The sequence below is a fragment of the Homo sapiens genome, chromosome 10 (assembly GCF_000001405.40).
Source record: "Homo sapiens chromosome 10, GRCh38.p14 Primary Assembly".
NCBI classification, from domain to species: Eukaryota; Metazoa; Chordata; class Mammalia; order Primates; family Hominidae; genus Homo; species Homo sapiens.
Genome location: NC_000010.11, coordinates 47,501,613 through 47,524,045, shown reverse-complemented (window position 1 = coordinate 47,524,045; position 22,433 = coordinate 47,501,613). Strand labels below are relative to the sequence as shown.

Below are 22,433 nucleotides of genomic sequence, written 5' to 3'. Positions count from 1 at the left end.
CCACAGGGTGGGGCAGCCAAGGCAGGGGCATTCTGAGCTGTTGGGGAGGGGTGGCAGGCAGGGTGGGGCACTGTGAGGTGTCGGGGAGGGCATTGTGAAGTGTGGGGTGGGGCATTGTGTGCCACATGCCTGGGCTCCCACCTGGGGCCAGTGGGCTTCAGTCTGTAGGTGACTACAGAAGGAGGAGGAGCTCCGTCTGTTCTCTCTTCAGGCAGTTGTTGTGTCTCTCAGCGCTTGTTGGGTTCACAACCTATTAAATAAGCCGGCTGGTCTTCACCCTCCCAGACAAGTCAACTCAGGGGAGGCAGCAGGGTGCGGGCCTTGGCCCGCAGCCCTAGCCGGGGCCGGGGCCGGGGCCGGGGCCAGGGCTGGTGCCCGGGGCCGCACTGTGAGGTGGGCAGGCGAGGAGCGGGAAGACCATCTCTGCAAGTGCAGCATAGCCTCGGCCTAGGACAGCGGGAGTGCGTGGCCAAAGCTGTGAGCAGAGGCACAGGTGGTGGCAGACAGTAGAGGCGCCCCATGGGGAACATACTGACCTGTCGTGTGCACCCTAGCGTCAGCCTCGAGTTTGACCAGCAGCAGGGGTCGGTGTGTCCCTCTGAATCTGAGATCTATGAGGCAGGAGCTGAGGACAGGATGGCAGGAGCGCCCATGGCTGCTGCTGTACAGCCTGCTGAGGTGACTGTTGAAGTTGGTGAGGACCTCCACATGCACCAGGTTCGTGACCGGGAGATGCCTGAAGGTAAGGAGGTGATAGGTGCCATCTACCCTCGGTTTGCCTCTGGCTGCTGCTGTCCCCAAGGTTCCCTTTGAGGCATCCCACACTTCGAGCTCCTTTCTGCTTGTAGCCAGCTTTCCCGGGGGCTGGCCAGGAACAAAAGCTGGCTCTGCCTTGAATTCCCACCCCTTAGTCTTTCCCCACCGAGTCCAGTCAGTTTCTTTTCACCTCCCCTCCCAATCGCCCAGTTCTTGCTCTCTCATCTCATTCTCCCAGGCTGGCATGGGACCATTTATTTATGGCTCTTGTCGAATAAGCAGCAGTTGAATAAATGAGTTGATAAATTTTTATAAATGATTACGTCCTTTTTCTTTTCTCCCTCTATACATATAGCTTTGGAGTTTAACCTTTCTGCCAATCCAGAGGCAAGCACAATATTCCAGAGGAACTCTCAAACAGATGGTGAGACAACAGTGTCTGTAGCTCTGTTTATTATCCTGTGGGACTTTGTTTAGGCTTCTTTGAGCTATTCTCTTCCTTTTCTCAATAAAAACTCAAATATCCCAACTTTTCAGTACCCATCTTAATTTTTCTTTGAACCTATCCAGATGGTACCTAAGTGAAGGAACCAGGTAAGTGCCTAATTGTTTCCTTTGTTAAAGTAGCCAAATCTCAGGACAGTTCCTATTCAAATATTTGGGGATTTCTTATTTAAAATCAGAATGGAGGTTGCCACGGGAGAGGCTATATGGTATTCTTAATGGGCTGCTTTAAGTCACCTTGATAGAAGCTGCTTAGTTTCTTCTAACTGTAATTTGAACACAGAAGGAAAAAGAAAAAAGGAGAGTGCTTAAAATAATTGTGAAAGGTATAAAATGTCACAGCCGGGGCTGCAGAAAAATGGTTGTGTGTGTGTGTTTGGGGTTTCTCAAAGGAGTTTACCTATGAGGCTCTGATTACTTTAAAATTCTTACTTTAACAGAAAATGTGTCTCCAGATTTATTCTGGTGACTTAACAGACTTTATTTACCTCCTTGTTCTAAAAGAGAGGTGGGGATTGGTTCACGGTCAAAACTTTCAAAAGACATGAAACGTCAACGTAGACTTTTAATGTGTAATATAAAGATTGCAGGTTAAAATGTCAGACTTCCCTGTAAGAGTGTTTGTTGCCGTGGCTCCCCCTTTGTCCCTTCCCCTCCTGACAATAGCATCTTGTTCAAAGATAAGAAAGTTACAGTTTTGGCTGGGCTTGGTGGCTCACGCCTGTAATCCCAGCACTTTGGGAGGCTGTGGCAGGCGGATCACCTGAGGTCAGGAGTTCGAGACCAGCCTGGCCAACATGGTGAAACGCTGTCTCTACTAAAAAAGAAAATACAAAAATTAGCTGGGCGTAGTGGCGCATGACTGTAGTTCCAGCTACTCACAAGGCTGAGGCGGGAGAATTGCTTGGACCTGGGAGGTGGAGGTTGCAGTGAGCAGAGATCACGCCAATGCACTCCAGGCTGGGTGACAGAGCGAGACTCCGTCTCACAAAAAAAAAAGGAAAGAGTTGGAGTTTTTTAGTCTCTACACTGTTGGCAGAGGCAGGGGATGGGAGCCGGTAGAAAACAGAAAACAATTAGTTGGTTTGCCTCTAAAATTTTGCAAAGAGATGAATCTAAGTAAAAGTAATTCTGGGTAATAATATGGTTCTTGAATAAAAACTGAAATTTTCAAAATAGAAAACATTGCATCATAAACATATTAAATCCAGTTGGCTTATTGGTTTCATTTAAATGCCAGAGATTTCATTACTCTAGAGGAAATGTCTTATAGCTCTTCTATTTAAACTTTGGTTGGGCTCTTAATTTTTAAAGAGGTAGGATAATTAAGACTCATTATGAGTGTGACTTTGTAACTTGGAAGTACTATCTTCACATTTCAAGATATTTAAGGATTGCTTTAGAATAAACAAATGCATTGTGTGAATTAATTGATTGTACCTTTATACACAAAGCATGTAAGTACTTGTATAAACTTATACTCTGCTTGGTGATGTTTGGAAAGCCTGATGGATGTTACACACCAGTTAGTAGATGGGTAGTGTTGGATGAGAGCCCAAAAATGGCTCTTTATTGTCATTCTTTAGGATTACAACACAGTTTATGTATGTCTCACTTGGCCCTTTCCAATACAAATAAGGCCTGTGTATGTTCTCCCTATGTATTGCTAATGAAGAAATGAAAACTTAGAGATATCACATGACTATGGAAGACAGCTACTCAAGAGAACTAAGGTTCTGTGTCCTCAGAATGAAATGGAAGTGACAGATATGATGAATTTACTTTTTAAAAATTTTAAAAACTCTAGAATACATCTTATATTTTGCCTATAAAATAGACTGTCTTTTAAAACTTACTGCCATCTTGATTTATTTTATGCAAAGTTGATTTTACACAACTCAAAGCCAAAATTTACCTCTTCTTCTTTTTTTTTTTTTTTTTTTTTTTAAATAAAGGAGGGTGTCATTGTGTTACTCATGCTGGCCTCAACTTCCTGACCTGGGTTCAAGTGATTTTCCCATCTCAGCCTCCTGAGTAGCTGGGACTACAAGCATGTGCCATCTTGCCTGGCTCTATCTTATGTCTATACATTCATTTCAATGGATAAGAATCAAAGTAGAGATAGTGAAATAGCCTAAATGCAGCAGCCGAATAAACGAGTTGATAAATTTTTATCAATGATTGCATCTCTTTTTCTTTTCTTCCTCTATGCATATAGCTTTGGAGTTTAACTCTTCTGCCAATCCAGAGGCAAGCACAATATTCCAGAGGAACTCTCAAACAGATGGTGAGACAACATTGTTTTTTCCGCCAAGAGAAAGAATAAAAGCTCTTGTTTGATCAGGTTATAGAAAGTATTTAGAAAAACTCATATTGGTTTAAATTTTTCACCTTTTCACATGTTCACTTGTCTTATTTTAATATGTGATATACTTTCCTTTAGTTGTTATGATGTTAGTGAAAACGTGTAACCTTTTTGTTTATACATTTTGCCATCTTTTTATCAACACAATTAATTTGTCATGTGTTGGAGGAGTCATGGATTTCTCTTTATAATTCTTGGATTTATCTTTATTTATAATTAATGGATTTATCTTTATTTATAATCCCTTTTCCCTTGCTCCAAAAAGTACACTTTAAAGATGAATGATAGAACTTAGGCTTCAGCTTGGTTTTCATTTAAACAAATTAAAAAACATAGTTGTTTATCATCAGGGATTGAATCTGTGATTTGGGCCTCCTCTTACACAGTCCTCTGACCACATTCATTTACCACATCCAAGTTCATGCTACTCAAAAGTTTTAGGTTATTAACTTTTTCATTTGATGTCATGTAAATTTAAACATGCCCTACTCCTGCTTATTTCCCTAATGTTATGTTAAATCCTCATTTATTTGCCAACAAGCCATACACAGCCAAGTTTTCCAGTTGACTTAAACAGCAAGAATACAAGTGAGGGTTCTATAATAGTGTGCGAAGTAATGCAGCACAGTAAAACACGGGAGTTTGTAACCTTTGTTTTTATAGTTTGAGTAGACTTTGCCCATCTTGAGTCAGTTATTTCTGGTTAGAATTTGTCTTCATTTTTTACATTACTATAAAGAGATACCTAAGGCTGGGTAATTTATAACAAAAAAGAGGTTTAATTGGCTCAAAGATTTTCAGGCTGTACAAACATGGCTTTAACATCTGCTTCTGGTGAGGGCCTCAGCAAACTTACAATCATGATAAAAGGCAAAGGGGAAGCAGGTGGTTCCACACGGTGAAAGAGAGAGGGGAAGGGGGAAGGTACCACACTCTTTTTTTTTTTTTTTTTTGAAATGGAGTCTCACTCTGTTGCCCAGACTGGAGTGCAATGGCACAATCTTGGCTCACTACAACCTCCATCTCCCAGGTTCAAGCAATTCTCCTGCCTCAGCCTCCCGAGTAGTTGGGACTATAGGTGGGCACCATAACACCTGGCTAATTTCTGTATTTTTGGTAGAGACAGGGTTTCACCATGTTAGCCAGGCTGGTCTGAAACTCCTGACCTCAAGTGATCTACCCGCTTCAGCCTCCCAAAGTGCTGGGATTACAGGCTTCAGCCACCGCACCTGGCCAGTACCACAGCCTTTTAAATTACCATAATGAGAATTTGCTTATTACCATGGGGATGGGACCAAGCCATTCATAAGGAATCCACTGCCATTACCCAAATGCCTCCCACTAGGCCCTGTCTCCAACATTAAGGGTCACATGTTAACATGAGACTTGGAGGGGCAACATATCCAAAACATATCAGAATTGTATTTCCCAGTTCCTTCCAGAGCCATGGGCTTCTCACACCTAGAGAGCATGGAAGCAGTAAAAGAAAAGCTATTCCATGTCCCTCACTCTTCGGTGGTAGGAACTTTTGCCTACAAGGCCCTTCCAGCATCAAAGGCAGAGGCAGTGTAGGAAACAAAGCATGGCCCAAGTCCCTCTTGGGGCTTTTATTATTCTGGCCTCTTTTTAGAGGAAAAAAAATGATTTTTTGAGCTTCAGACACCATGTCCAATTAGGTTTGTATACTCATTTTAACATCAAAATTTAGGCCAGGCTCTGTGGCTTACACCTGTAATCCCAGCTCTTTGGGAGGCTGAGGTGGGTGGATCACGAGGTTAGGAGATCAAGACCATCCTGGCTAACACAGTGTAACTCTGTCTCTACTAAAAATACAAAAAAAAATTAGCTAGGCATGGTGGCACGTGCCTGTAGTCCCAGCTAGTCAGGAGGCTAAGGCTGAAGAATTGGTTGAACCTGGGAGGTAGAGGTTGCAGTGAGCTGAGATCCCACCACTGCACTCGAGCCTAGGTGACAGAGTGAGACTCCATCTCAAAAAAAAAAAAATTAAGATACGTTACTTTCCAGTTGTGTAAAGACCGTTTTTTAATTTTGATTTGTTTTTAGTGACATATTAGTAGATAACCACTAAGTGTGGTTCAAGATGCTTACAGGGATTCTGTTGCATCTAGAGATAGGTGTCTGGTCAGGACGTAGTTCTTAGAGCTGTTAGCTCTTAGAGTCTGATAATTAAAGTAAGCTATGTGTAAATGCAGAATGAGAGAATACTAATGGATCATGGCTCATATATGCAACAGTTAAACTTTTTATTAGCTAAATTTTTCATCTGGCCTAATTTTTTTACCCTTTTCTTTTGTACATGAGGATTCTTTCATTTGTATGTAATAGAAACAAAAAGTAAACTAAATGAAAAACTAAGTTTTTAGATTTGACTTATGAAATTAATCATGCCAGATAATTTAAATTATAAATTATTGAAAATTATTTTTTTAAATGGAATTTTGTCTCATTTTACATAGGAGTAATCAGTAAGATGTTAACAACTACTTTTATTTTATGGTATTTGTATCAGAAGTGACCAGTTTTTTTTTTTTTTTATTCTTAGTTGTAGAAATAAGAAGAAGCAACTGTACAAACCATGTAAGTAAACACTCAAATAGTTAAGAAATTGATAGTTTGACATAAAAGGATGTCTCTCTTGATTTCTTTAAATTACAATGTGGACCTGGTGGTGGTAGCATGGACCTCTTTTTGTGGATTTTCTAAATCTCTTCTATTTTCCTGAGTATTAAATTTATCCAGAAAAGTGTTTAGCTTAGCGTGTCCACCTTTTAAAGATTTCTGACATTTAAGTTAAATTTCAATAGTCTGGTTCAAAAGATCTGCCTTAAGGCTGGGCATGGTGGCTAACGTCTGTAATCACAGCACTTTAGGAGGCCAAGGCAGGCTGATCATCTGAGGTCAGGAGTTTGAGACAACCCTGACCAACATGGTGAAATTCTGTATCTACTAAAAATACAAAAGTAGCCGGGCGTGCTGGTGCATGCCTGTAATCTCAGCTAGTCAGGAGGCTGAGGCAGAAGAATCACTTGAACCCAGGAGGCGGAGGTTGCAGTGAGCCAAGATCGTGCCATTGCACTCCAGCCTGGGCGACAGAGCGAAACTCTGTCTCAAAAAAAAAAAAAAAAAAAAAAGTGCCTTAAATATTTAATCTTATTTTTAATGAAAGAACAAAAATAGAATAGTTAAGTTAATTGCCAGCACTGTCTATTGACTTTCTATCACAGCGGGTAAAAGCGTATCTTCCTCGCTACACCATGATCTTATGTTTCTCCCTGTGTTTCTTCCAATTGTAGCACACTTTTTAATTAAATCAGTAATATTTACATGATTATGACTCTGCAAATATTATTCACTGCTAAGTCATATGGTGTTTTCACTGTGCCTCTGCATTCCATGTCCTTCATCCTGTCTCTGAAACAGTTCTGAAATCTGAGCACTTCTGCAATTCTCCTGGATCTTCTTTTTTCCTAGCCTATGTTAGTTTATCTATCCAAATATCATTAAGTAGCCTCTGGGTGCTCTGTTTGCTTTCACATCCATTATTTTTTAGCATGAAGCTAATTTTCTGACTATATTCATTTGCCTATTTTCTAATAGCTGTTTTTCCCCCAAGTATTGTAGCATTTATCACATGCCTTTCAAAGATATTTTCCATCTGCAAAAACACATCTGTTCCTTTTTATGTGTGTGTGGGGGGCAACTTTCTTTGGCCTTTTGTCATCCTAGTTCAATATAGCGTGGGTTTCCCTAGATATGCTCAATGTCTGCTTTTCTGGGCTAACTCCTTAAAGTCTTTTGGGATCTCACGTAACTGCTGTCTTGTGTGGGATCTCCTGAGTCCTAGATTCTGTGTTTCCTTCTGTCCTGTTATCGTCTCTAGTTGTACTTGAACACATTTTCCTGGGTGGAGATGTTAAAATCCCTCCTCTTTGATAGAGAGTACACCTCTAGGTTGAATCTAAATTGTATGGTTCTGAAGACATTTTGCAGTTGTGCTCTTATTACAGTGTTGTTCTTGAATCTATTGCCAGTGTGTGATATGTTATTTACAACCAGGTTTTAGTTATCTGCGGAAGCTTTTTAGAATCTCTCTCTCTAAGGTTCTGAAATTTTATAACAGCTTGTTGGGGATCTTTTCATTTTATTGAGGCTACTAAACCTGCAGACTATCTCTTCTTGAGAATTTTTTTTTTATTTTCTCTGTTACTTTTTTACTGATAGTCTTGTTCTTCAGATGCTAGGCTGCTTAGACCAGTACACCTGCATTGATTTTTAATTTTTCCCCTTCTATTTTTTTCAGTTTGTCTTTTTATTCTAGTTCTGGGATATTCTGTGACTTTATCCTCTACTATTTCTATTGAATTTTATATTTTTTGAGAGTGTTTTAAGATTTTTTTTTTAAAGTTTTGCTCCTGATTTTGACTGGTCCTATCAATTCCTTTTTTCTATTGTTTTGATCTCTTTTCTTGGAGGCTTCCCTCCAATGTGTGGTGGTCCCTGGCCTGCTTTATTTGGAAGCAGGATTTCTGTTAACTGATAGCACTCAGTGTGAGGCCTTAGAAGCCTGACTAGCTTTTCATTTGGGAGACCTCAGTGTATTATCTGGGGATCTTTACTGAAGACATTTCAGTTTCTTCTGAGAAGGATCTCCCAATTTTCTGCCTGGAAAGTAAAAGCAGGCCTGGAAAGGAAAAGCAGAGTTAGCAAAGAAAGTTGGAGTTCCATTTTTGGTGTACAGTTTTCTTTATATCTCAGGTTTAAGCCATAGTATCTCTGAGCCAGAAATTCTCAGGTTTGATATATCCAGAGAACACACATCTAAGTTTCTTGTCAGATGGAAGGACAGGTAGACTTTGGGCTCTAGTTAGAGATTTGCAACTGACCTTGCTGGCTTTTTTTTTTTACATTTTACCCTACTTTCCAAAGTGCCATTTGCCTGTAAGTTCACAACCTGCCTTTAGTTCTGCAAGACAAACTGGCTCGCTTCTGTTCCAGTCACTTTCTGTAGTCAGCAAAGTTGTGTTTCTGTGTTATTTACCACTCCTTTGTCTACTTTTTATGTCTCAGCATTTACTAAAAATTATCTCTGTCAACCTTCTGTGCTGGTCATGGGTGTAACCTTTATTTTATGACTAATGAGGCTTCCAGAGGGAGACGAAATAAATTTGTGGTCAATCTATTATATTTAATCCAAATTTAGGACCTATGTTTAAATCAAAGTCTAATTTGAGTATAATGATATTAAGCCAGAGAATTTTTTAAATTAATGTATCTATAATAAGCATATTACACTTTTCTCCTAAGGCCTTGTTTAATATTTTCATTCAAAGTTTATCCACTGCCATATGCTTCCCATTACTTCACAACATAAATGGAGCTGTTTTCCTGAATGCCCAAGGTGTTAGAAATATTTAAGTTAATTAAGATTTGTTCATTTTTAGCCTGGTCAACATAGCAAGACCTCATGTCTACAAAAAGGTTAAATAACAAATTAGCCAGGCCTCGTGGCATGCGCCTTTCATATTACCTACTCAGGAGGCTGAGGCAGAGGATCACCTGAGCTCAGGAGTTTGAGGCTGCAGTTAACTATAATTGCACCACTGCACTCCAGCCTGGGCAACAAAGGGAGACCCTGTCTCGGAAAAAGGAAAAAAGTTACTAATTCTTTAAAAACCTATCTAAAATTTGTCCTGCCCAAAAGGAGAGTGAAAAATATGAACTTTAGTCTTTGTTTTATTTTATGTTTGCTGAGAAAAATGCTGTACTTTATTTATTTATTTATTATTTCCATAGGTTTCTGGGGGAACAGGTGGCATTTGGTGACATGACTAAGTTCTTTAGTGATGATTTGTGAGATTTAGGTGCACCCATCACCTGAGCAGTATCCGCTGAACCCAATTTGTAGTCTTTTATCCCTCACCCTCCTCCCAGCCTTTCCCCCAAGTCCCCAAAGTCCATTGTATCATTCTTATGGCTTTGCATCCTCATAGCTTAGCTCCCACGTAGGAAAGAGAACATGATATTTGGTTTTCCATGCTGAGTTATTTCACTTAGAATAATAGTCTTACTTCCATCCAGGTTGCTGGGAATGCCATGAATTTATTCCTTATTATGGCTGAGGTGGTATTCCTCATATATATATATATAATATGTATGTATATCACAGTTTCTTTATCCGCTCATTGACTGATGGGCATTTGGGCTGGTTCCATATTTTTGTAATTGTAATTTGTTTGAGTTCCTCATAGATTCTGGATAATAGCCCTTTGTCAGATGTATAGACTGCGAAGATTTCCTCCCACTCTGTGGTTGTCTGTATACTCTGTTGATTGTTCCTTTTCCTGTGCAGAAGCTCTTTAGTTAAGTCTCACCTATTTGTTTCTGTTGCATTTGCTTTTGTGTTCTTGGTCATGAAGTCTTTGCCCAAGCCAGTGTCTAGACGGGTTTTTCCAATGTTATCTTCTAGAACTTTTATGGTTTCAGGTCATAGATTTATGTCCTTGATCCATCTTGAGTTGATTTTTGTGTAAGGTGAGAGTTGAGGATCCAGTTTCATTCTCCCGCATGTGGCTTGCCAATTATCCCAGCACCATTTGTTGAATAGGGTTTACTTTCTTCACTTTATGTTTTAGGTGGCTTTGTTGAAAATCAGTTGGCTATAGGTATTTGAGTTTATTTCTGGGTTCTCTATTCTATTCCATTGGTGTATGTGCCTATTTTTATATCAGTACCGTGCTATTTTGGCGACTATGGCCTTATAGTATAGTTTGAAATCAGGTAATGTCATGCCTCCAGATTTGTTGTTTTTGCTTAGTTTTGTTTTGGCTGTGCCGGTTCTTGTTTGGTCCATATAAATTTCAAGACTGTTTTTTCTAGTTCTGTGAAGAAGGATGGTGGTATTTTGATGGGAGTTGCATTGAATTTGTAGATTGCTTTTGGCAGTATGGTCATTTTCACAATATTCATTCTACCCATTCATGAGCATGGGTGTCTTTCCATTTGTCTGTGTCCATGACTTCATTCAGCAATGTTTTGTAGTTCCCAACGGCATATCAAAAAGATAATCGGGCCAGGCACGGTGGCTCACACCTGTAATCCCAGCACTTTGGGAGGCTGAGGCGGACGGATCATGAGGTCAGGAGTTCGAGACCAGCCTGGCCAACATGGTGAAACCCCATCTCTACTAAAAATACAAAAGTTAGCCGGGCGTGGTGGCGCTCACCTGTTATCCCATCTACTCGGGTGGCTGAGGCAGGAGAATCGCTTGAACCTCGGAGGCAGAGGTTGCAGTGAGCCAAGATCACCGCATTGCATACTCCAGCCTGGGCAACAGAGCAAGACTCCATCTCAAAAAATAAAAAAAAGATAATCCACCATGATCAAATGGGTTTCATACCAGGGATGCGGGGATGGATTAACATACACAAGTCAATAAATGTGATACACCACATAAACAGAATTAAAAACAAAAAATCACATGATCATCTTAACAGATGCAGAAAAAGCATTTGACAAAATGCAGCATCCTTTTATGATTAAAACCCTCAGCAAAATCAGCATACAAGGGTCATAGCTCAATGTAATAAAAGCCATCTATGACAAACCCACAACCAACATAATACTGAAAGGGGGAAAAGTTGAAAGCATTCCCCCCGAGAACTGGAACAAGACAAGGATGCCCACTCTCACCACTTGTATTCAACATACTACTGGAAGGCCTAGCCAGAGCAATCACACAAGAGAAAACAATAAAAGGCATGCAGATCAGTAAAGAGGAAGTCAAACTGTTGCTGTTTGATGATGATATGATCATATACCTAGGAAACCCTAAAGACTCCTCCAAAAAGCTCCTAGAACCGATAAATGAATTCAGCAAAGTTTCAGGAGACAAAATTAATGTACACAAATCAGTAGCTCTGTTATACCCCAGAAGCGACCAAGCTTAGAATCAAACCAAGAACTCAACCCCTTTTCTGATAGCTGCAAAAATAAACTAAAATAAAATAAAGTACTTCGGAATAGACCTAACCAAGGAGGTGAAAGATGTCTACAAGGAAAACAACTTTAGTATTTTTAATGGGTTAAAATGAGAGGCAGCAGGTACAGCAGAAGTCAGTGCGTGGGCATCCGCATCCAATGGGTACTGCACCTTTGATGGTAAGGCTTTGGTTTTGACTTACTAAATTACTAGGTACGATTATTTTCTAGTTTTTGTCATTAAACCTTAAAACTACTAAGTAACCCCTTCCATTTCTTGTTAAATATTGTAAAATTTCATACTCTCATTTATGCTGACTGACGTTAGATTATTTGTTTCTATTTTGTGACTACCTTAAATAATACCTATAAAGAGTAAACTGTTAGTAGTGTTTTTGCTGTAATTAAATGTAGTAAGACTTACCTTCCAAATGATGACTGAATTGTCAAACACTTGTCGAAGTTTTGGATTTACTCAAAATTCTATGCTCAGCAGCTGGAGGTAGGAAGAGTAAGGGCCCTCCCTTACTCTTATGGAGAGGCATACTTTCTCATGAGGGGAATACTCTGCAGGAATTAGCATCTTGTAAGCAGTGGTGAATTCAACTAATTAGTGTATAAAAATACATTTTTTGGTGTGGCTGCCGACAAAGAGATCCAAGAGGGTAGATGGAGTCGAGCTTGCTGAAGCAAGGAAAGAGAAAAGCAGTATTCTAGGCAGAGAGCAGGGGTAGAGCAGGAAAATGGCTAGGTGCAGGTCAGATGATTTATAGAATGCAATTGATCAAGTTTTGAAGTGAATGCAAAGTATTCTCCAAGAGTCTCATTTGAGTCATGTCTTGGCAGTCTTATTTAAACATGAAGTGAAAGTTAGATTTTTTAAGTTGTCATTTGTTTTTAGGGTGTGAGAGAATATTTAAGTGATACTCTTTTTATCCTCCACATAAGAAAATAGGACTAGAGAAACCTATGGCTTCCTCACTTGTTGGTGGCCTAGCAGCCCTGGCACACAGAGCCCCTGAATCTGAAACACTTCTTTTGTAACAATATCACCTGAAATAATACGTTTAGGATTAGTAATTTAGTAAATGCATTAGTCTTGTATTCACTGCAATAAAGTGCTCTTGTAGCAGGATTATTTAATACACTACATTTTATCGTAGTAAATAAATAATAGAAGGACTGGGCGCCGTGGCTCACGCCTGTAATCCCAGTACTTTGGGAGGCTGAGGCAGGCAGATCACGAGGTGAGGAGATCGAGACCATCCTGGCTAACACGGTGAAACCCCGTCTCTACTAAAAATACAAAAAGTTAGCCGGGCATGGTGGTGGGCGCCTGTAGTCCCAGCTACTCAGGAGGCTGAGTCAGGAGAATGGCGTGAACCCGGGAGGCGGAGCTTGCAGTGAGCCGAGATCGCGCCACTGCACTCCAGCCTGGGCTACAGAGCGAGACTCCGTCTCAAAAATAAATAAATAAATAAATAAATTAATTAATTAATTAATTAATAGAAATTCTTGGCTGCTTTTTATTGCTGTAGAAAAAAATATGAAATCTCATTTTAAACTTTTCTTTCTTTTTTTTTTTTTTTTTTTGAGACGGAGTCTCACTTTGTCTCCCGGCCTGGAGTGCAGTGGCGCGAACTCGGCTCACTGCAAGCTCTGCCTCCTGGGTTCGCCCCATTCTCCTGTTTCAGCCTCTCGAGTAGCTGGGACTACAGGGGCCTGCTACCACGCCCGGCTAATTTTTTGTATTTTTAGTAGAGACGGGGTTTCACCATGTTAGCCAGGATGGTCTCGATCTCTTGACCTCGTGATCTGCCCGCCTCCACCTCCCAAAGTGCTAGGATTACAGGTGTGAGCCACCGCGCCCGGCGAAGCCGACTTTTCCCATTATTTTTAACGGTAATTCATAAAATCCTTGTTAGGTTTGATGACAGGTACCATATTAAGGGCAGCATTTTATAACCCATATCTTAAACATCATCTCTGGAAGTTGAGAGCCTCCAATGGGTTTTCTATAGATTGCACATGATACCACACTCAGGCAGTTCATGGAGTGTAAGACATATCTTAGTGCTTTGTCATTTGACATTTTAACTGAGAAAAAAATACACTTTGATAAGTTTGACTTACACTTCCCTTCCCCTTCAGGTATCTACTGAGCGTTTCAGTCAACAATACAGCTCGTGTTCGACAATATTCCTTGATGACAGCACAGCCATCCAGCATTATCTTACAATGACAATAATATCGTGAGTACAACTATGCTGCCGAGGGACAGATTCCTTTATTCGGAAATTATTTCAGCCATTTGGTTGTCCTCTTCAGCAATCAGCTTAAGAAATTGGAGTCAACCATATATTGATATTCAGATTCTGAATATTAAGTATCAGTTTCTCTTTTAATCTTAGACGTCGTGGTGGAAGGAAAAATCAGTTAGCAAAGAAGCAAACCCAGAAACAGTGTGTCTTTTTGATGTCTTTATGCCTTTAGACAATGTTGAACACAGTGAGAAGGATAGGTTCCCTTTATTGAATGTTTTTTGTGGAAACTTAGTTTTTCAATGCATCATAGGCCCAAATCAGTGTGCACTACTTTGGACATTATCCTTGGAAGAAGGAACAGCTTTTCTTCTTCTGGCACCACAGTGTATCTGCATTTGAATTTCTCCCATTGTGCATGAGCACCTCGTGGGCCACAAAGATGCGCTTTGAGAGCACCCTGAGATGAAGTTTATTTTAAAAGGAACAACAACCAACACCACCACCAGCTCCACAGGGGCCGTCCAGTGTACATTATTCTCATCTCCTTGGGTTATTAGTCTTGATTTTTAGAACACAGTTTGGAAAGTGCTAATTTAGAATATTAATGTCTTTATCTTTAATTTAACTTTTCATTCTGTAAACATAACTAGCTTATAAACAATTTTGTTTCAAATGCACTAGCCTTTTTAGCTAATTCAATTGTCAATAACTTTTACTTCAATTAAAAGTGGCAAGTTTACACTCATAATAATGTCACTTTCCTCCCTCCCTTTTAACAATAGTTGAGAGGAAATTGTGTTTCAAACAAAAACTGAACTCAAACTCTGTCTCAAGTCCTGAGCTTTGGGACCTATTGAGTAATCACTAAATGTCTGTAGTCAGCCAAGTCTCTTAAATCTTTGAGCACACATACACAAAAATTACTTTGACTAGAGTCCCTGGCTTCTTCTGAGTTCCAAAGATTTTGATAAGTTAGCATATAATTCAAAAGCAGCTTTGAAGATTAATTTTGCTGAAACTAATTTTGTGCTTTTTTCCTCATTATTCTACTTTTTAGAAGTCTACTTTTGAGAGTATAGTAAGTTTTAATTTGCCACCAGCAAGTTTGAGAAATAATCATTTGGTGTATTCACTATTGGTGAAATAAAGTTATTGAACAAATTAATAGGGCAAATTGGCTTCAAGAAGATATATTGAAAAATGTTTTATCATGAATCAGTAGTGCACTGTTGTCAGTGGGATAGGTGGAACTCGCTGAGATCACTTATGCAAGGTTTTTTTCAAAATGCAAGTCTGCAAATACATGTATCTTCCCATCTCCACTTTCCCTCTATCTCTAGGCACTGAGAAGCCTTTTAGGAAAATCGGGATGGATGTGAGGCATCTTTCTGTGAAGAAAAGCATCCCAGAAGATTCTGATTTTCACCCCAGCTCAATCATTCCAAACTTTGCTGCTGATTGAAATCACCTGGGAAACGTTTACCAAGAACCTTGATGCCCAAAGCCATACCCAATACTAATTAAATTAAAATGTCTCATGTGGAAGATGAGGCAGATATTAAAGCTTCTCAGGCGATTTTAATGTGCAGCAAAGTTTGAGAGCCACTGCTTAATTTGAGTTTAGGACGAGAAACTGCTCCTATTTGGTGGGACCTTGGGCAAGTCAGTTTTAAGGTTTGTTTCCCTGATCTGTAAAACAAGTGTTGAATTAAATGTCACATAAGGTCATTGGTCCTTTCCAGCATGTAACTTTAAATTCTGTGATTTTAAAATTATTTCAGAGATGAAAACTACTTGAAGCACTATAGACATATCCATCTCACATGCTAATGTTACAGGCTTTTTAAAAAGTGCTAATATTGTGTAGACCTATTAGTAGAATTGAGATTTACCTTCCCTCAGTTGTTTTGAGCCTCACTCTACAAAATTAGCTGGGTGTGGTGGTACATGCCTGTAATCCCAGCCACTTGGGAGGCTGAGGCAGGAGAATCTCTTGAACCCGGGAGGCAGAGGTTGTGGTGAGCCGAGATCACACCATTGCACTCCAGCCTGGGCAACAAGAGCGAAACTCCACCCACCACCCCCCCAAAAAAAAAATTATCTGGGCATAGTGGCGCAAACTTGTAGTCCCAGCTTCTTGGGAGGCTGAGGCGTGAGAATCGCTTGAACCTGGGTGGTGGAGGTTGTGAGGAGTCAAGATGGCACCACTGCAGTCCAGTCTGAGCAAGAGAGACAGACTCTGGGTCAAAAAATAAATAAATACATAAAATAAATCGCATGGGACGAAAGGTTTCATCGGTAGAAAAGCATATAAAAGGGAAATCTGTTATTATTTATATATTGTAATCACCAACAGAAACGCGTCTTCTAACGGCATATTTCCTTGCATTTTGGTTCTCATATTTTTGTAAAAAACAAAGAAATGAAAACAAAGTGCCCTTATGGTACTGTTCTGAACTAGAAGATTTGAATTTCAGGGCCGCTAGGAGAGTTTCCTCTGCCCCCCTTTTAAAAAATGTCTGCAGGCCTAACAAATGATAACATCTATTGTTATGAATTTGTTTTCCTTCCACAGTGTGACCTTGGAGATACCTCATCATATCACACAAAGGTGAGCTTTTTAGAAACCTGTCTTGTTATTCTAGCTAATTACTTTGCAAGATATCAAGCTCAGTGTTAGGTCACAGCTCTAGACATCATAAGCTGTATTGTGCCTACTAAAATATCGAAGCAAATTATTTGTATTTTCTTTGTTCCTTAAGACTCTCATAATTCTTAAATGATTGAGAATCTCAAAGAGTATATGTTTATATTGATTATATTGATATTTAGTGTGGTAGAATTATACAATTGAAATTTTTTCAAAATCTATTTTTAGTTTAGATTTCACAGCCTTACCACTGTTGATATTATGGGCTAGATAATGCTTTGTTGTGAGGACTGTCTTGTGCATTGCAGAGAGTTTAGCAGTATTCATGGCCTCTACCAACTAGATGTCAGTAGTAACCCATGACCCAGTTTATAAAAACAGAAAATATTCCTTGAGAACAGTATTGTTAACAGAAGTTTTTCATTGAAAAAAAACTTTTCTACAACAAAAAGTTGAGTAAAAAGTGTGTCATTTGTTTATATTATTTAAAGTCTCTCATGTTGAGCTTAATAGGAGACAAATGGATTCTCTAGAGCTTTCTTTGCAATTTGCTTCAAAGAAGCAATATGAGGCTGGGCACAGTGGCTCACGCCTGTAATCCCAGCACTTTGGGAGGCTGAGGCGGGCGGATCACAAGGTCAGGAGATCGAGACCATCCTGGCTAACACGGCGAAACCCCGTCTCTACTAAAAATACAAAAACTTAGCTGGGCATGGTGGCACGCACCTGTAGTCCCACGTATTCTGGAGGCTGAGGCAGGAGAACCGCTTGAACTTGGGAGGCGGAGGTTGCAGAGAGCTGAGATCGTGCCATTGCACTGCAGCCTGGGTGACAGAGCAAGACTCTGTCTAAACAAACAAACAAAAAAAGCAATAAGCTGGTGGGGCGCAGTGGTTCACACCTGTAATCCCAGCATTTTGGGAGGCCAAGGTGGGTGGATCACTTGAGGTCAGGAGTTTGAGACCAGCCCGACCAACATGGTAAAACCCGCCTCTACTGAAAGTACAAAAAATGGCTGGGCGTGGTGGTGCATGCCTGTAGTCCCAGTTACTTGGGAGGCTGAGGCAGGAGAATCACTTGAGCCTGGGAGGTGGAGGTTGCAGTGAGCCGAGATCTTGCCATTGCACCCCAGCCTGGGTGACAGAGAGAGACTCTGTCTCAAAAAAAGAGAAAAAGAAGCAATAAGATGACCTAACCTCATGCAAATATGTAGTTGGTAGAAGGTGTATTTTTAAAGTTTTCAGACAGTTGTGGGTATTTGTTAAAACACTAAATCAAAACTTCACAAGTGGTGGTTTCTTAAATTAGTTACGGTGGCATTTTACATATTAATAAATTTATTCCATCAGTACTCATTGATCTTTCTTGCACAGTAAATGGATCTTTTGCTCCATACTTGCATTTATAATATCATGCATTAGTTACTTGGAATATATTGGTTTATGTTTTATTGTGTCAAAAATCACTTTTAGTTTAACCACCAATCTTACTTTAACAGGCCTTTAAGTATTGAAAAGCTGCCAAGCCTACAGTAGAAGGAACAAGTTTTTCAAAGTCCACAGGAAAGCTTAAATTTTATCATTGGGAACAAATACGTATTTCCCTTGAAGTGACAACCTCTCACTTCATTTATTTTTGAGAATGATAGTTGAACTGGTTTTTTAGACCGAGTTTCACTCTGTCACTTGGCTGGAGTGCATTGGCATGATCTCAGCTCAAGCAATCCTCTCACCTCAGGCTCCTGTGTAGCTGGGACCACAGATGTGTGGCACCACGCCAGGCTAATTTTCTTATATGTTTGATAGAGACACGGTTTCGTTATGTTGCCTAGGCTGGTCCCGAACTCCTGAAGGAGCTCAGGCCATCTGCCTGCTTTGGCCTCTCAAAGTGCTGGGATTTTACAGGCGTGAGCCACTGCGCTGGCCCAGTTGTACTTTTAAATAAAAATGATGTTCTGTGAAAAAAGTGATTTTTCAGTTCACAGTTAAATCACGGATTCTTTAAAAACAAAAAAAAAGCACTTCTCATTAACTTTCCACTTATTCAGAATATTAGAGACATGTCAAGATTTAACAACATTAATTTTTATTGCTTCATCAAAGACGTTCTTAAGAAATTCAGGCTATGTTTTTTACCTGTAGGGGACAGTGAAGAATAGAATGACTACTAATGTAATTGGTACCACTGCCTTGATTTATGCTGAGAAACCAGCCATTGTACCTACTTTTGCTTTTATACAATCATGGCAAGTGTCAACGAAAAAGCAGGCAATGACTTTGTATTACTTTCACAAATTTTTAAAATTTTTCATCAGCTTTCTCAGGTTTAATTAGTATGATTCAGAACAGTGTTGGCCAGGCACAGTGGCTCAGGCCTGTAATCCCAGCACTTTGGGAGGCCGAGGCAAGTGGATCGCCTGAGGTTAGGAGTTCAAGACCAGCCTGGCCAACATGGTGAAACCACATCTCTACTAAAAATACAAAACTTAGCCAGGAGTGGTGGCAGGTGCCTGTAATCCCTGCTACTTGGGAGGCTGGGGTAGGAGAATCACTTGAACCTGGGAGGCGAAGGTTGCCATGAGCCGAGATCGCACCATTGCACTCCAGCCTGGGCAACAAGAGTAAAACTTGGTCTCAAAAAAAAAAAAAAAAAAAAAAAAAAAGAACAGTTATGACCTCTTAGGCCTTCTGGAAGGGGTCTTCGGGATCCCGAGAGGTCCACAGAGCACATTTGGAGAACCACTGGTTTATACACAGGCACAATGCATTAGTTTTACAAAGTTTAAAGTTCCTCAAAGACTGGCCTCTTAAAAAGGTAGATGAGTTTGTCATTCAGACAACAGAAAATACATAAAAACATCATGAGAGTATACTACAGAGAACTAAAGAGAAAGGAAGCTAAGAAATCTGAATCACATTTACATTTATTAAAGTTTACTACTACTGCTTTGTAGAACATTCTTGTGTTTCAATGTGTGGTTAGAAGAGTGAAAATATGTTTGGTTTATTGCCATGGCCTGTTAGGGAGAGTCAATACTCATGGGCATTTCTGACTGGTTATCATATAAAAGGCTTCACGGTACAGACCATGATGTGCTGAGAAAGAAGAAGTCAGGAAACCCTCTGCAAGTCAGGATCCAGGAGAAGAATTTGTAAAAACTGCTTTGGTAAAGTAAACACCAAAGCACACAGGAGGAAGTATTTTACTCAACAAATATTATACTAAGATATTAACAGTTTTTGAAGTAATGCACTTTCTTATTTTATAGAGATGCAGATAGATCTTTGAGCATACCTGATGAACAGTTACACTCATTTGCGGTAAGTGGCACTTTTATTGAGGTTGTATTTTCATCGTACACTTGTATCTGTTTCATGCTGAAGTCAAAGCCATCTTTTTTTAAATCTTCCCCATTTCATGTTGCATTTAGTCATCTTAAGTGTTGTAAAAAGAATGTGCTGGAGTAAGAACTGATCTGCAGCTCTGTTTAGTTAGTGAGCTAGTGTGAGTAAATATACTATCCAAACAACAGAAAATGTATCTTTTTTTTTTTTTTTTTTTTTTTTTTTTTGATGGACTCTCTTTCTGTAGCCCAGGCTGGAGTGCAATCGCGCGATCTTGGCTCACTGCAGGCTCTGCCTCCCAGGTCCCTGTTCAAGCAATTCTCCTGCCTCAGCCTCCCGAGTAACTGGAATTACAGGCATGTGCCACCATGCCCAGCTAATTTTTTTTTCTTTTTTTTTTTTTTGTAAAGACAGGGTTTCACCATGTTGGCCAGGATGGTCTTGAACTCCTGACCTCGTGATCCACCCACCTTGGCCTCCCAAAGTGCTGTGATTACAGGTGTGAGCCACCATGCCTGGCCCAGAAAATGTATCTTTTTAAAAGGTAATTGTGAGCTGTCTATAGGATCCTGCAAGCCACTACCCAATTTTTGAAGCCATTCCTCCTCCTGTTCCACACAGGTTTCCACCGTGCACATTATGAAGAAAAGAAATGGAGGTGGGAGTTTAAATAACTATTCCTCCTCCATTCCACCGACTCCCAGCACCAGCCAGGAGGACCCTCAGTTCAGTGTTCCTCCCACTGCCAACACACCCACCCCCGTTTGCAAGCGGTCCATGCGCTGGTCCAACCTGTTTACATCTGAGAAAGGGAGTGACCCAGACAAAGAGAGGAAAGCCCCGGAGAATCATGCTGACACCATCGGGAGCGGCAGAGCCATCCCCATTAAACAGGGCATGCTCTTAAAGCGAAGTGGAAAATGGCTGAAGACATGGAAAAAGAAATACGTCACCCTGTGTTCCAATGGCGTGCTCACCTATTATTCAAGCTTAGGTGATTATATGAAGAATATTCATAAAAAAGAGATTGACCTTCGGACATCTACCATCAAAGTCCCAGGAAAGTGGCCATCCCTAGCCACATCAGCCTGTGCACCCATCTCCAGCTCTAAAAGCAATGGCCTATCCAAGGACATGGACACCGGGCTGGGTGACTCCATATGCTTCAGCCCCGGTATCTCCAGCACCACCAGCCCCAAGCTCAACCCGCCCCCCTCTCCTCATGCCAATAAAAAGAAACACCTAAAGAAGAAAAGCACCAACAACTTTATGATTGTGTCTGCCACTGGCCAAACGTGGCACTTTGAAGCCACGACGTATGAGGAGCGGGATGCCTGGGTCCAAGCCATCCAGAGCCAGATCCTGGCCAGCCTGCAGTCATGCAAGAGCAGTAAAAGCAAGTCCCAGCTGACCAGCCAGAGTGAGGCCATGGCCCTGCAGTCGATCCAAAACATGCGTGGGAACGCCCACTGTGTGGACTGTGAGACCCAGAATCCTAAGTGGGCCAGTTTGAACTTGGGAGTCCTCATGTGTATTGAATGCTCAGGTATCCACCGCAGTTTTGGCACCCGCCTTTCCCGTGTGCGATCTCTGGAGCTGGATGACTGGCCAGTTGAGCTCAGGAAGGTTATGTCATCTATTGGCAATGAGCTAGCCAACAGCATCTGGGAAGGGAGCAGCCAGGGGCAGACAAAACCCTCAATAAAGTCCACGAGGGAAGAGAAGGAATGGTGGATCCGTTCCAAATATGAGGAGAAGCTCTTTCTGGCCCCACTACCCTGCACTGAGCTGTCCCTGGGCCAGCAGCTGCTGCGGGCCACCACTGATGAGGACCTGCAGACAGCCATCCTGCTGCTGGCACATGGCTCCCGTGAGGAGGTGAACGAGACCTGTGGGGAGGGAGACGGCTGCACGGCACTCCATCTGGCCTGCCGCAAGGGGAATGTGGTCCTGGAGCAGCTCCTGACGGGGTGGACGTCATGGCCCGAGATGCCCACGGGAACACAGCGCTGACCTACGCCCGGCAGGCCTCCAGCCAGGAGTGCATCAACGTGCTTCTGCAGTACGGCTGCCCCGACGAGTGCGTGTAGTATCTGTTTTATTTGACTGCAGTCTCCTTGGTGCAAAAACAAAATGGGAAAAATAAGGATAACTCAGAATTTCAAAAGGAAATCACAAATTCAGCTAGTAATAGCATTTTCAGTACTTTTCGTAAACTAAGTAAATACACAAAATGTTGATTTTTCTGACCATAAGACATATTTTATGTCCTTTTGCCAAGGTGGATGTGTTAGTCTCAGGCCCTCCTGGCCACATTGCCCAAGTCACACAGGCTTCTGTATTATGTATTTAGATAAAATGTGTGAAAATATATTTGAAAAAAAATTTCATAAATGTGCATTGATTTTTGTACACATGGCACCTCTTTTTCATTTTTATTTTTATTTTTATTTTTTTGGACGATGTTTTGCTCTGTTGCCCCAGCTGGAGTGCAGTGGCATGATATCTGCTCACTGCAAGCTCTGCCTCCTGGATTCACACCATTCTCCTGC

The 22,433-nt window shown here is 40.9% G+C and overlaps 2 protein-coding genes and 1 pseudogene across 4 annotated transcripts in view; all 3 read left to right on the top strand.

The window, feature by feature from the left end:
• The window catches only part of BMS1P2-AGAP9 (BMS1P2-AGAP9 readthrough), a 51,748-nt pseudogene extending 29,455 nt beyond the window's left edge, over positions 1-22,293 (top strand). The window contains exons 9-16 of one of the 2 annotated variants that reach the window (NR_160414.1): positions 555-742; positions 1,112-1,180; positions 3,479-3,547; positions 6,189-6,223; positions 13,775-13,875; positions 16,463-16,498; positions 19,806-19,857; positions 20,503-22,293. The product of NR_160414.1 is annotated as a BMS1P2-AGAP9 readthrough, transcript variant 1 (transcript). Of the gene's footprint in view, positions 1-554; positions 743-1,111; positions 1,181-3,478; positions 3,548-6,188; positions 6,224-13,774; positions 13,876-16,462; positions 16,499-19,805; positions 19,858-20,295 lie in introns of both variants that reach the window. The other variant, NR_160415.1, reaches the window with a different exon arrangement.
• Positions 1-22,433, top strand: part of ANXA8 (annexin A8) — a 523,804-nt gene that overhangs the window by 467,751 nt on the left and 33,620 nt on the right. The gene's annotated exons all lie outside the window — the stretch shown is intronic.
• Positions 408-22,192, top strand: AGAP9 (ArfGAP with GTPase domain, ankyrin repeat and PH domain 9). Its single transcript, NM_001190810.1, has 8 exons — positions 408-742; positions 1,112-1,180; positions 3,479-3,547; positions 6,189-6,223; positions 13,775-13,875; positions 16,463-16,498; positions 19,806-19,857; positions 20,503-22,192. Exons 1-8 carry the CDS (start codon positions 520-522, stop codon positions 21,892-21,894), a joined length of 1,977 nt encoding a protein of 658 aa, NP_001177739.1. The 5' UTR covers positions 408-519; the 3' UTR covers positions 21,895-22,192.